Raw genomic sequence first — 12,778 nt, 5'->3', positions numbered from 1 at the left:
CTCAGAGAGATGAAGTAATGGCCCAGTATCACAAGTCACAAGTGACAGAGCCCAGATTCAAACAAGTTCTGCCCATTTTGCCCCCACTGCCTTACCCTGTGTGACTCTTTTGCTTTTCTCTCCAGTTTTGTGCCACAGATGGGGGTCATGTGCTTCCACCTATATCTGGTTCCAGCTGCTGCTTTAATTCAACACTTGCCTGCCAACGCTGCTGGCAACTCCCACTAGCAAAGGGAACCCCCCCACCGCTGCGGGCAGCCAGGCAGAGCTGGGTTCTTCAGATGTATCCGTCAGCTCGGTAGAGTTGGTACCCATGTGGCTGGCTTATTTCTGGTGGACAGAGTTTCATTTTCTGCATTTGTACAGATACTGGCATCGAGCTCCCTCTTTTTAAATAAAAAGCTGATATTTTAATACACTTAAATGTGATTTTCAAAAAATCACCAAAGGCGGATGACAGCAAGAGTTGCAAAATCCCCAGGGTGCTATTAGCAATTTGGCTCCAACAGGAATCTTACTAGCACTCTAGAAGCAGTGTCATTATGATTAAGACACTGTAACTGTAGAAACTTAGAAATGTGAACTTCAGTGTAGGAACAAATGCAAATATCCCACCGGAACTGGTTATATACATAAGTTTCCATGGGCTCCCCCTTGTAACTAAAGTTCTAATCTGGTTACAAGGAACACCAAGAGATTTGCTAGGATCATTGACTATTTGAGCTGCTGGGCACATGAGACCATCTCGTCCATCGACCTGCCTTGGAGATAGGAAACGGCTAGAGAGAATGCATGACTGACCACAAAGTTCAAAGTGCAAAGCCAGGAGTAGGACACAGGCTCTACCCCCCTCCACCCTTGCCCCCCAAACACTGCACAGACCAGTTCTCTTTCTCTCTTATGTCATGCTGACTCTGTGCTCCGATCTCAGAGCCTCAATTTTCCCCTTCTGTAAAATGAGAATTAAAATAATTCCTAGATTTTAGAGTTGTGAGGATTAAATTAGATAGTTTAGATGAGCTGCCTTGTAAACTGCAAGTGCTATGCAAATGGAGGGAGGTGGTGGGGCAGAGCGGAAGGAGTGTGCTTTTTAGAGACAGGTCTGGTGGGAATCCCTGCTGTCCACCTGCCTCTCTGAGCCCCCGTTTCTACAAAATGGGGTGGTCCCATCTCCTGCCTGAAGTTATTACGGGATATAAATGAGATATGTTATGTAAAATTCCTGGCAAAAAGTACAAAATCTCTCTTTTTCATATGCTACCCATTATTTTGAAGACGGCACTGAAATTGGACATTTGGTAGTACTTCTGGAAATAGAAGAATGTTTATTGTAAAAGAATTGGCCCAAATGAAATGCATAGGGTCTTTTCTTTTCTAAGCCTGCCTACCTTTTTCAAAAGGTGTCAGTGAAATCAGCAAACATAAAAAGCAGAAACGACATCCCATGAGGTTGACAGGGTATCAAGAGGCTATCAGAAGGAAAACCTGTTGCTCCAGTGTTTAAAGCAAATGAGCTGTGCTGTTTGTGGGAGCCTTATTTATTTATGGAAAGAAAATACTCCAGGTTTGCCATATTTACAACCAGAAGCAGATTAGCTTGGCAGGGATGCTGTGTAAAGGGAAGGCTTCACTTCACTTCTTCGAAGGTGAGGGAGCAGGTACTACTAGTCCTGTGTCCAGCCCTTCCCCTTCTGTTGTAAGAGTGCGGTACCAGGAAGATACTCTTGACCAGATTTCAGATTCTTTCCAACCCATTTTTAGACTCAAGGGGTCCTGCTTTCTTTCCCTTTCTTTCCCTTCCTTTCTTTTCTTTTCTTTTCTTTCTTTTCTTTCTTTCTTTCTCTCTCTCTCTCTCTTTCCTTCCTTCTTTCTTTCTTTCTTTTCCTTTCCTTCTTTCTTTCTTTCTTTCTTTTCTTTCTTTTTCTTTTGACAGTCTCGCTCTGTCACCCAAGCTGGAGTGCGGTGGCATGATCTCGGCTCACTGCAACCTCCGCCTCCTGGGTTCAAGTGATTCTCCTGCCTCAGCCTCCCGAGTTGCTGAGATTACAGGCATGCACCACCACGCCTGGCTAATTTTTGTATTTTTAGTAGAGACGGGGTTTCACGATGTTGGCCAGGCTGGTCTCGAACTCCTGACCTCATGATCTACCTGCCTCAGCCTCCCAAGGTGCTGGGATTACAGTCATGAGCCACCGCGCCTGGCTTTATTTTCTTTTTTTTAAGGTAGGATACCTGTATAGAAAATGCACACAAGGCCAGGCACGGTGGCTCATGCCTGTAATCCCAGCACTTTAGAAGGCCAAGGCGGGTGGATCACCTGGGGTCAGGAGTTCAAGACCAGCCTGGGCAATATGGTGAAACCCCTGTCTCTACTAAAGATACAAAAATTAGCTGGGTGTGGTGGCGCGCACCTATAAACCCAGCTACTTGGGAGGCTGAGGCACAAAAACCACTGGAACCTGGGAGGCGGAGGTTGCAGTGAGCAGAAATCATGCCACTGCATGCCAGGTGACAGAGTGAGACTCCATCTCAAAAAAAAAAAATTTTAAAAGTGCACACAATATAGAATGGTACTCAGTCTCCTTCTCATCCCTCTTCTACCCCTCATCCTGCCTGCCCCCTAACAGGTGCTCAGGAATGCCATTTTCTCATGTGTTTCTTCAAGGATATTCCTTTCATTCGGTTCCATGGACTCATTCAATAAATACTTATTGAGTGCCTGTTCGAGGCACTGGGGATAGAGCAGTAAGTGGAAAAGTTGAGAATGCTGCCCTACAGGAGTTACATTCAAGCACTCAAGTGGTGCTGCCATTCTTACATGCTTGTATATGCATTTTATGGCCATGTCTACCCTATTTCAGCACATCAATCATTACTGATTATACACTGTACCTTGCTTTTTTCATTTTCTCACACATCTAGGAGATTAATAAAGGCCATGTTTAAACCTAGCCCGGAGGTTTTTTTTTTGGGGTCACTGGGGTCACAGACATCAGCGGCAGCCAGAAGGAAGGCAAAGTCCACAAATAACTCTTGATCAGACAGAGGTGGGAACAAAGGGCTGGCATTACAAAGCCATCTCTTTTTGGGACAGCTTTGGTAATCAGGTCCAGATTCCAGCAGGAGATTTAATGCTGAATTAGTTAGGATTCTTTTTGAAACCCAGCTTAAACTGGCTTAAGCAAGAAAGAGAATACATGGGCTCTCCAAGCCAATGCGGACACAAGGGCAGCCCTAGGGTAGACAGAGGAGCCAAAGGAACCGGCTTGAGGACACAAGGTTCCCCCCAACTCTCCATCTGTCTCGCGTCTCTGCTTGTCTCTGCTTCAGTGGGCAGGGTGCTGCTCTGTCCCCCAACAAGCTGATCTTTTCATTTTGTGGGGAATTGGCCCTTCACATCAGGCAACCACTCCTATTGGCCAGGACAGGGTCACGTGCTCACCTTTTTGTCCAGTGGGATGGAGTCTGTTACTAGGAGAAAGAAGATGGGAAAGTCCTCTCAATAGACAGCGACAATGATTAAAGCCCTGTTTAATGTGTTTCTGGGCTGTATTCCTATTAGTCTAATGTATCTTGCACAAAATAGCATGCTTAAAACTTAAATTACATTAAAATTTCCAGAAGCACTTTTGACAGCTTCATACAACTTGTTTGCATTTTGCTGCGCTAACATGTTATTCTTTTGTTGGTTCATTGGCTCATGGATTCATCGAACACTAATAAAGCACCTATGATATGCCAAGCACTGTGCTAGGCTGCGCTGAAGATACCTGGCTCCTAGTCAGGAAAGAAACTCAGTCCTTGCCACAAAGTCATGGGGAAAATCAATGGGCAAATGGCTCCTTAGATCATAGCCACACATGGGATAATGTACAGCAGAACTGTGCACAAAACACAGTGGGAAGAGAGGCAGCAGCAGCTCACTCTGCCTGGAGAAGACTTCATTCAGAATGGGGAGGTGCACACAACAGAATCTTAGCAAGGTGGGCGAAGGGGCCTGAGATATTTATTAGGACTCTTTGGAGGATGACAAATAGCAAGCAAATTTAATTAGTTAACTCGCCGGTCGTGGTGGCTCATGCCTGTAATCCCAACACTTTGGGAGGCTGAGGACGGCGGATCACGAGGTCAAGAGATTGAGACCATCCTGGCCAACATGGTGAAACCCCATCTCTACTAAAAATACAAAAAATTAGCTGTGCATGGTGGCGCACACCTGTAGTCCCAGCTACTCAGGAGGTGGAGGCAGGAGAATCGCTTGAACCTAGGAGGTGGAGGTTGCAGTGAGCCAAGATCGCGCCACTGCACTCCAGCCTGGAGACAGAGCGAGGCTCAGTCAAAAAAAAAAAAAAAAAAAAAAAAGTTAGTTAACTTTAACTAATGGGATTACAGCTGGATTTGGGAAATTCCAGAATCAGGCCCTTGAGGAGCAACAGTACCCAGGCAGAAGCCTTCTCTTCATCTTTTGTCTCTACTTCTCTCTGCCTCTGTTTCTCTTTCCCTAATTGCCTCCCCAGATGGGCTTTCTTTCCTCTTCAGTCCTCAAGCAGGAGCATGATGTGCTGGAAAGGGGCTAAGGGGCTGGAGGGGACACCGAATGGGAGAACAGAACGGAGAGCTGGACAAAGCCTGGATGGAAAAGGGCAGAATTGCAAGTCGAGGACTCCTGCACTGGCCCTGGGCCCTCATGGAGGCCGGGCCACGTGAGCCTTCCCAGGAGGCAGAATGGAGTTGACTGGCCACACCGTGCAATTTGTCACAGCAAAGGGAGGACCACAGATTTCCAAAGGAAAAGGAAAGGAAAAGATGCCTAACCTCAAAGAGTGACGAACATTCCAGCTGCAGAGGCCTCCTGACAGAAGAAATGTCCCAGAGAGCCAAGTGAGGGGGCGTGGCCTTTCACCAGGAGAAGGAATAGTAGCAGGAGGTATGCCTCCCTTTGCACAGCACCTGCTCGTCACAAGCCAGTGAGTTTTGTTCAGAGTGCAATGCAACCAAAAAAGAAGAAAGTCCTTTCAGTTTGAGTTTCACACTCACACAGCCTTGTTTTCCCAGAAGCCCAGGCCCCGGGGACTCTGGAGTCAAAGTTACTGGTAAGAGTTACCTCAGCGGTCCCCCAGGGCTGCCCACACAGACAAGGACCACACAGACAAAGAGAATCTCCAAGAAGCCACAGATTGTGGGCACAGCAGTGCTGAGTGACAAAGACATGAACTCAGCAAGCAGTGCCCTGGAGAAGGATGTGATGGGCAGTACACCTCTGGGGCCCTTCTGCATGTCACCCACACCTCAATTGGTTTATCAGTGGCCTGGATTCTGAAATCACTAACATCACTAACATCACACACACAAACACTCTCTCACACACACACAGACATACACACACACACACACACACACACACACACTTCAGCTCTTACCCCTCCATAATCTACTGAGCAGTCTCCATATTGTTCACAGAGTTCGGAACACTCCCAGCAGCCATTGCTGCAATCTATTGCTCCCTTATTTCTCCGAGTGCTGGAGCAGGGAAAGTGTTTATCCACCCTCCAGATGATTCCGGTCTCAAAGGCAGAGGGATCAACTGGGTGTTCAGACTATTTTATTTACATCCCGAGTGGCTTTGTTTTGGCTGTGCAAAAAATGTTTCCCGTCTCTGTCTGACTGGAGCAAGGGACTGGGTAGCATGGGGAGAAGGAGGTGTCAGAAGGGATTAAAGAGTGCCTGTTTGATCCACAAAGCTCTAGAACTATCCTACTTTCCTCTGGGGTGTGTCTCTAGGTAGGTGATCTCATTTCATCTCTTATAAATATTCTGTCTGCTCTCCGCATTCCACCTCACCCCACTGGTGTGGGGCAACCAAGTTTCTAATAATACAAAAGGAGGTAATATATCTGGAAGTCGAAGTCCACGGGGCTGGTGGGCTTTAAAATGAGATGCATTTGGTGCATGCGTTTGGTCATTTCCTTTCTTCAAGCCTGGACTTTTGAAGACAAATGGTGACAGCTGGAGCCCAGCACGCCAGAAGCCCATGTGAAGGGGCACATCCAGATGAAGTCAACACTTACAGAAAGTCATTTCTGAGTGCCTGGAAGAGGGATATGCATCTGGCTAAAACCATAGTTTGCATTTATTGGACTCACATTCTGTGCCAAACATTGTACCAAGCATTTCACATGGATTATGTCATTTAATCCTTACACTTCCATCCTGATAAATAGAAATAAATACCTTCATTTAATAGAAGAGCAAGCTAATGTTCAGAGAGATTAATAATTCATTCAAAATCACACACTTTGTAAGTGACAGAGCCAGACTTCAAATCCAAGCAGGTTGAATTCAGAACCAATTGTCCTACCACTTAGCTGTGTGTTTGGGGGAAATTATTTAACTTGTCTAAGCTTCAATTTCCTTATCTGAAAACATGGTTATAAATAATAGTACCTACCATTTTGGTTGTTGAAAACATTCAATGGGATAGTAAGTCTGAAGCAGCTCCCAGCACACAAGGAGCAGTGGGTGGTAGCATTTAGTATGCAGTACTTTGAAAGAGACAAGCAACCAGGACACACATGGGAATGATGTTTTTCCCATTTTTTTGAGACAGAATCTCGCTCAGCCGCCCAGGCTGGAGTGCAGTGGTGCGATCTCGGCTCACTGCAACCTCCAGCTCCCAGGTTCAAACAATTCCCCTGCCTCAGCCTCCCGAGTAGCTGGGATTATAGGTGCCCAACACCATGCCTGGCTAATTTTTGTACTTTTAGTAGAGATGGGGTTTTACCATGCTGGTCAAGCTGTCTCGAACTCCTGACCTTGTGATCCACCCACCTCAGCCTCCCAAAGTGCTGGGATTACAGGCATGAGCCACCGCAGCTGACTGGGAGTGGAGTTTTTCAAACCCTGTGCTGGTGTCCCAGGCTCTGTGGTTCTCAGTGCTCAGATCTCTCCAAGGGAGGGTGGCTCAGGACAGACCCTGATTCACAAAGGTGCCACCTGTGAGAAGGAGGTTCCTATTAGGCACAGTGTGGAGCTGTTAGTCCAACTGGGTGAACAGTGCTCCTGTCCTTTGCTCCCCCAAGCTAAGCTAATTGGGGCCCAGAGTTAGGAGCCCCACTGCCTGGCACTCAGGGGAGGACCTTCTTCAGTGGCCATGGGTGGTGGATGGTCTTTCTAGCTGGAATGCTATTGAGAACAAATGGGGCTTTCCGAGCTGTTTCATGGTGGCAGCTTGATGTATATTAACTGGCAGACTGTTCATCGTGTAGGGGAGGTCCGGAAGGAGGCTGTGGTTGTAAGTGGGTGAAGGGAACCTCAGAGGGAAGTTGGCATGCAGGAAGGCATGATGTAGGTGGAGGCGAGGGCAGAGCTGTGGGTGAGTTGTGCTCAGGAGATGAGGAGGTGAGACAGCTTGTCTCAGAGCTTGCTTGGCCCTGACTCCTCACCAAGAGAAACGTACTGGATAACATTTGCATAACTAGTCTCATAAAAGTGGTGTCATGTGAGCCAGGAATCAGAGTGTGGGGCTGCAAGAGGCCTTGCAGCTCTTCTGGTGCAAACTGCAGGCCAGGAAACTGAGGCCCAGAGAGGGGAAAGCGTTTGTATAGGTTGCACAGTAACCTGTTTTCCTCTTGGTCTGTGTGAAAGTCATTCTCTGTATAAATTCAAGTATTCAGACATTAATTTGCTTTTTTTGTTTTTTTGTTTGTTTGTTTGTTTTAAAAGTATAACGATCAACACAAAAGACGTTTTGAAAGAAGAAAAAAAATCATCCAATACCCAAATTAGGATCATTTTGTGCTTTCATTTTTAGGCTTTTTAAATGTATATTTTTATGCAGCTGCAATCACAGAGGAGAGGAAATTCTGCTATTTCATTTAATAGTTTGATATTTTTTCATGCTATGGTTTTCAGAGTTGTCACAAAACACTATATCCCATTGTTGCAATGTTTAAAGAAACAGAACTGAACCCGTGTAATATGACTGAACCTGAATTTAGTTAAGACTTGGCTGGCAACAGCTTCATGTCTGTCTCGTGTCCCTCCCGTCCTGGAAGGCCAGGCATGTTTTACAAAAAGCTAATTTGTAGCTTTTTGTAAGAAAAATGGATAAGAAACGGGACAGGGCAGGAAACTGTTTGGGTTTGCCTGGAACCACAGACATCACTAACGTTCATGTTCTGCGGAACAATGGTTCTCAGCTCTGGTGCACATGGGAATCACCTGGGGAGCTTTTGAAAAGCTATTGATGTCTAGACCCTGTGCCCAGGGATTCTGATTTAATCATGTGGGCTAAGAACAGACATAGGTTTTATTTTCAAAGCTTTGCAGGATCCTATTATGCATCCAGGATGGAGAACGACTTGTCTCACAGGCCAACTCCTTAGAAAGAGCCTCACCACAGTCACACTTAGGATAAAGGCACATTGATTAGACTCTTCTCCTATAACAAAGTAGAGACTTTTGTCATCTGTATAGTGTGACAGCTGCAGTTGCATAAAACACACTTAAAATTATTTGGCAGAATATGAGAATGATGGGAGGGTTGTTTAATGAGAAGGGAATGGAGGTGATTAGAGCGAGACCTGGAGAGTGCTTTAAAAGAGGGGATAATGACATGGAAGATTTATTTCTGGTCCACAAGAGGCACTTGTGGTGGCTTTCTGATGCTGAGACTCAGCAATAATTAAAAGACTTGGGCTGGCACTATCTGGTAAACTAAGTGTTTGTAGCATCCATCTAAGGCAGCCTGTGGCGGATATCTCTGGGCCACCCTGATGGACTAGAATCCTCCAGCCCAGGACCTATGGGAGCTGTCCAGGGAGTTGGGAAGTATGCTCCTCGCCAGGAGGCACCAGGTCCACAAACACTGAACTGCTATTGATGAGCAAAGAGTGATGGTCACTTCCAACCTCCTCCATCCCTCTTTGGTTCAGCTTTTTTAACATTGGCTCAAAGGTTTTTCTTTCCTCTCTTATGGAAAGCTTTTCCAGCACTGATTTGGCACATTCAGCCTCACTAGTCAATTCTAGGCACTCTGAGGTTTCCTTGATTATCTCTGTTGGGTCTTGTGGCTGCCTATCTGCCTTGAGAGACTAGAGAAAGGAAAGAAAATCAATTAAATTTAGTACACATTGTCTGAGCATCTACTCCGTGCCACAAACCGTGATTGGCACCAGAGCTACATAGATGAGCAAGACAAAAATCCTCGCCCTTCCCAACTGTTGTGAGTCAGCCCAGTGAGTCTCTGCCAGGCATCAAGAGCTGTGAAGGCTACAGGGAAGACAGCAATTCATTCCACCCAAGGGCTCGGGGATCCCTTCACTGTGGAGGGAGTATTTGACCTGTCCTTAGAAGGAAGCTGTTCCAGAAATCTATCCTTGTGTCACAAACCACTCCCAAACATGGTGGCTTAAAACAGTGATTCATTATACCCTCTCATAGTTCTGTGGGATAACTGGTGATTCTCATTCCAGGTTTCCCACCGAGTTGCAGTCAGGTTACAGCTGGGGCTGGAGTCATCCAAACGCTCAGCTGGGCTGGGCATCCAAAATGGCTTTGCCACTGCCATGTCTGGCACTTCCTCTGGGATGGCTGGAGCAGTGTTGGCTGGCAGAGTATCTCTCGCTACATAGCCCCCCTCCACTTGGCTAACTGGGCTTCCTCACAGCATGACAAATTCAGGGTAGTCAAGCTTCTTGCATAGTAGTTAACTTCCCTCAGAGCATGCACTCTGAGAGGCCAAGGGAGAAGCTGTGAGTCTTTTTATGATCCATCCTGGGCAGTTACGCAATATCACTTCCACTGCATGCTATTGGTGGAGCTAGATTCAAATGGGAGGGGATTCCATGATGGCACCATGACCACAAAACAGGGTTCTCTGGGGAGGCTTGCTGGAGCCTAGCTGCCACCAATGGAAAATATTTTCACATCTAAGGTAGGAGGAGAAAAACATACTTGGCAGAAGAGACCTTGGCTGGACACAGTGGCTCACGCCTGTAATCCCAGCACTTTGGAAGGGCAAGGAGTGTGGATCATTTGAGGTCAGGAGTTTGATACCAGCCTGGCCAAAATCACAAAACCCTCTCTCTACTAAAAATAAAAAAAAAATTAGCCAGGCATGGTGGCAGGTGCCTGTAATCTCAGCTACTTGGGAGGCTGAGGCAGGAGAATCACTTGAACCCAGGAGGCAGAGGTTGCAGTAAGCCGAGATCATGCCACTGCACTCCAGCTTGGGCAATAGAGCAAGACTCTATCTAAAAAAGAAAAAGAAAAAAAAGAGAGACCTCATGAGCAAAGCACTGATGTGTGTGGAGAATAAAAAGCAGTATTAGTCTTGATCATTTTAAATCTAAAGGGAAGATAAGATTGTGCAGGTAGGTGGGGGTGGGGCCATGGAGGAATGTGGATTTTCCTCAACAGGCCGTAGGGGACCACTGCATGTTGCAGGGTTGGGAAATCCATATAATTAGACAAGCGCTGTAGCACATGCTTGCAGGGATATGGAGGACAGTTGGTAGATGGGGGAGTCTGGGGACAAAGGGACCTCTCAGAAAACTAAGACAACAGACCAGGTGAGGGAGGGTGAGAATTTCACCAAGGGCAGGGCAGTGGGGCCCAATGGGACAATGAGAGATGGTGGATACAAGGAATGGCCCAGAAACAAAGTTAACAGGGTGGAGCAATGGATCATATGTGGGGAATGAGGAGGACGGAGTAGAACAGGAGACTGGGTTTCAAGAGAGAAGCCTGAAGACTGTAATGAATCTGCAGCATTCAGAGTCATCAGCCTGCCAGTGGCAGGTGGAGGCCTTGGAAAGGCTGGGCTACCGGGAAAGCACTGTTACTCTAGGAACAGAAGAATCTCCTGGAGAATTTATTAAAAATGCATACCTAACTTTGAGAGTCTGATTCAAAAGGTTAGGAGTGGGTCCAGGAGCTGCATTTTTCACATATACCCCAGGTGATGCTGATGCTGATCGTAGGGCCCTGGTTTGAGAAATACTTATGTAGATAGAGGGTCAACACACCTGACAGCAATAATTGAAGAATACACTCAGAATGGCAGATACACTTGAATGTGTGTTCCAAGCTAGGGAATCCAGGAGTGGCCAACCCGGAGATTCATTCCTTATCTATGATAAACTTCTGAGCCCCTGGCCTGTCCCATGAAACATGGTCCATACAGGGGATTGAGGCCTTGAGTTTTGGGTTAAATGAAGATTGCCAGGTGGAGGTCGTTAGGGGAGGCTGCTAAGTGACAATGTTATGTAAACTGCATGATGTTTGCAGGCAGTTGTGGTTTTCCTGCCCAACCCGCCACCACTGAACTGTAGGCAAGACAGATCTCTTTTCCAGCCTCCCACCACTGGACCACGTGTAAGGTGGTTCTCCTGCCCAGCCCACTGCCACTGGACTCTCTCCCCTCTATGTGAGCCCCTCATAAAACCCCATGTCTCATTTGCTGGCTCTGGGTCTCTTCTTTGGCCTCTTGAACCTGGTGCCTTCCCTATTGAGGTTAGTAGTGGTTCGATGCAACAGTAGACAGTGATGATCATACTAGTTAGTACATTTGGAAAGTCAGTGCATTATCTTTGTAGAAGGAGACAAAGGAGTCAGGGTCGTTAACAGGAGAATCCCATCTTTGACAGGTCAACCAGAGAGAGGACTCTAAGAAGGAAGAAGCAGACAAGTGAGCCATGTGTTGCAGGGAGGTGAGATGAGGCTGAGGGCGTTCTCCAGGTTGTGTTCATGAGGTCTTTATGAACTTGGGGTAGTAGAAGTCAGAGTATGGGAAACTAAGAAATGAATGGGTGTGAGGATGAGAAGGCAGGTAAGTGTAGATGACTGTTCCCAGCAGTGTGGGGGAGGGAAGAGAAGAAAGAAATGACTGTGCCACAGAAGGGGTGGGTGGAAGGGAATGTTCTTGCAGGAGGAAGGAGCCTAGAGGAAGGAGATGGTGGAGAGGGAGAGACAGGAGATGAGCCAAGGAGAAAGAGGGAAGACAATAGCAGAGCATAGTGATGAAGATCAGAGGCTCTTACATCTGCCTTCTAATCCTGATTGCCCCTTACTAGCCAGGCAATGTTGAACAAGTGACCTAATCCCTCTGAACTTCAGTTTTCTCATCTGTACAGCAAGGATAACAACATCCACCCTACTGGATTGCAGGGGAATTACAGCACCAGCACAGTCCCAATCACACCTGACTGGTGCTATTGCTGCTGCTGATTACGGCGGCAATCATGAAGTGAGGGAACAGATGTAATAATACTAGTACTAATGATATCTCACACTAGAAATGCAGAGGGCTTCACTTGTTTTATTTTATTATAAAAATGAAAAACTCAAATAATGAACACGCATATGCTCATCATTCAGATTTAGTAATTCCTAAAATTTTGTCACACTTGCTTCATTTTGTTGTTGTTGAAATGTTTTAAAGTAAATCCTAGCCCCCCTATTATTCTGCCCCTTTACACCTAAAAAACCATGGATTTAAAAAACACTTCTTACATAAACACTATGTCATTACATACCTAATAAATTAGCATTAACTCTTTGGTAGCATCTAATATCCAGTTCATAATCAAGGTTCCCCAGTTGTATAAAAATGATTGGTTCCATTCGAGATCCAAAATCCTGCATTTGGTTCTTATATCTTTGAATCTCTTAATTTGTAACTGTCCCTCCTCCCCTTTTTAAAGGTATTGGATTATTGAAAAAATACAGTGAGTCCATTGCTGGACAGAACGAGCTACACTCTGGATTTGTCTTCCTC

General features: G+C 46.2%; 2 annotated features.

Annotated features, from left to right (window-relative positions):
* Nucleotides 4,981-5,180: an enhancer, noted in NCBI's record as "active region_20941". NCBI's record gives its function as "activates an Ori minimal core promoter by ATAC-STARR-seq in GM12878 lymphoblastoid cells {active_cell/tissue: GM12878}" and the evidence as "EXISTENCE:reporter gene assay evidence [ECO:0000049][PMID:35858748]".
* Nucleotides 7,166-7,225: an enhancer, noted in NCBI's record as "active region_20940". NCBI's record gives its function as "activates an Ori minimal core promoter by ATAC-STARR-seq in GM12878 lymphoblastoid cells {active_cell/tissue: GM12878}" and the evidence as "EXISTENCE:reporter gene assay evidence [ECO:0000049][PMID:35858748]".

This window comes from Homo sapiens, chromosome 3, assembly GCF_000001405.40.
Source record: "Homo sapiens chromosome 3, GRCh38.p14 Primary Assembly".
Lineage (NCBI taxonomy): Eukaryota > Metazoa > Chordata > Mammalia > Primates > Hominidae > Homo > Homo sapiens.
This window is presented reverse-complemented; position numbering and strand designations above follow the sequence as displayed.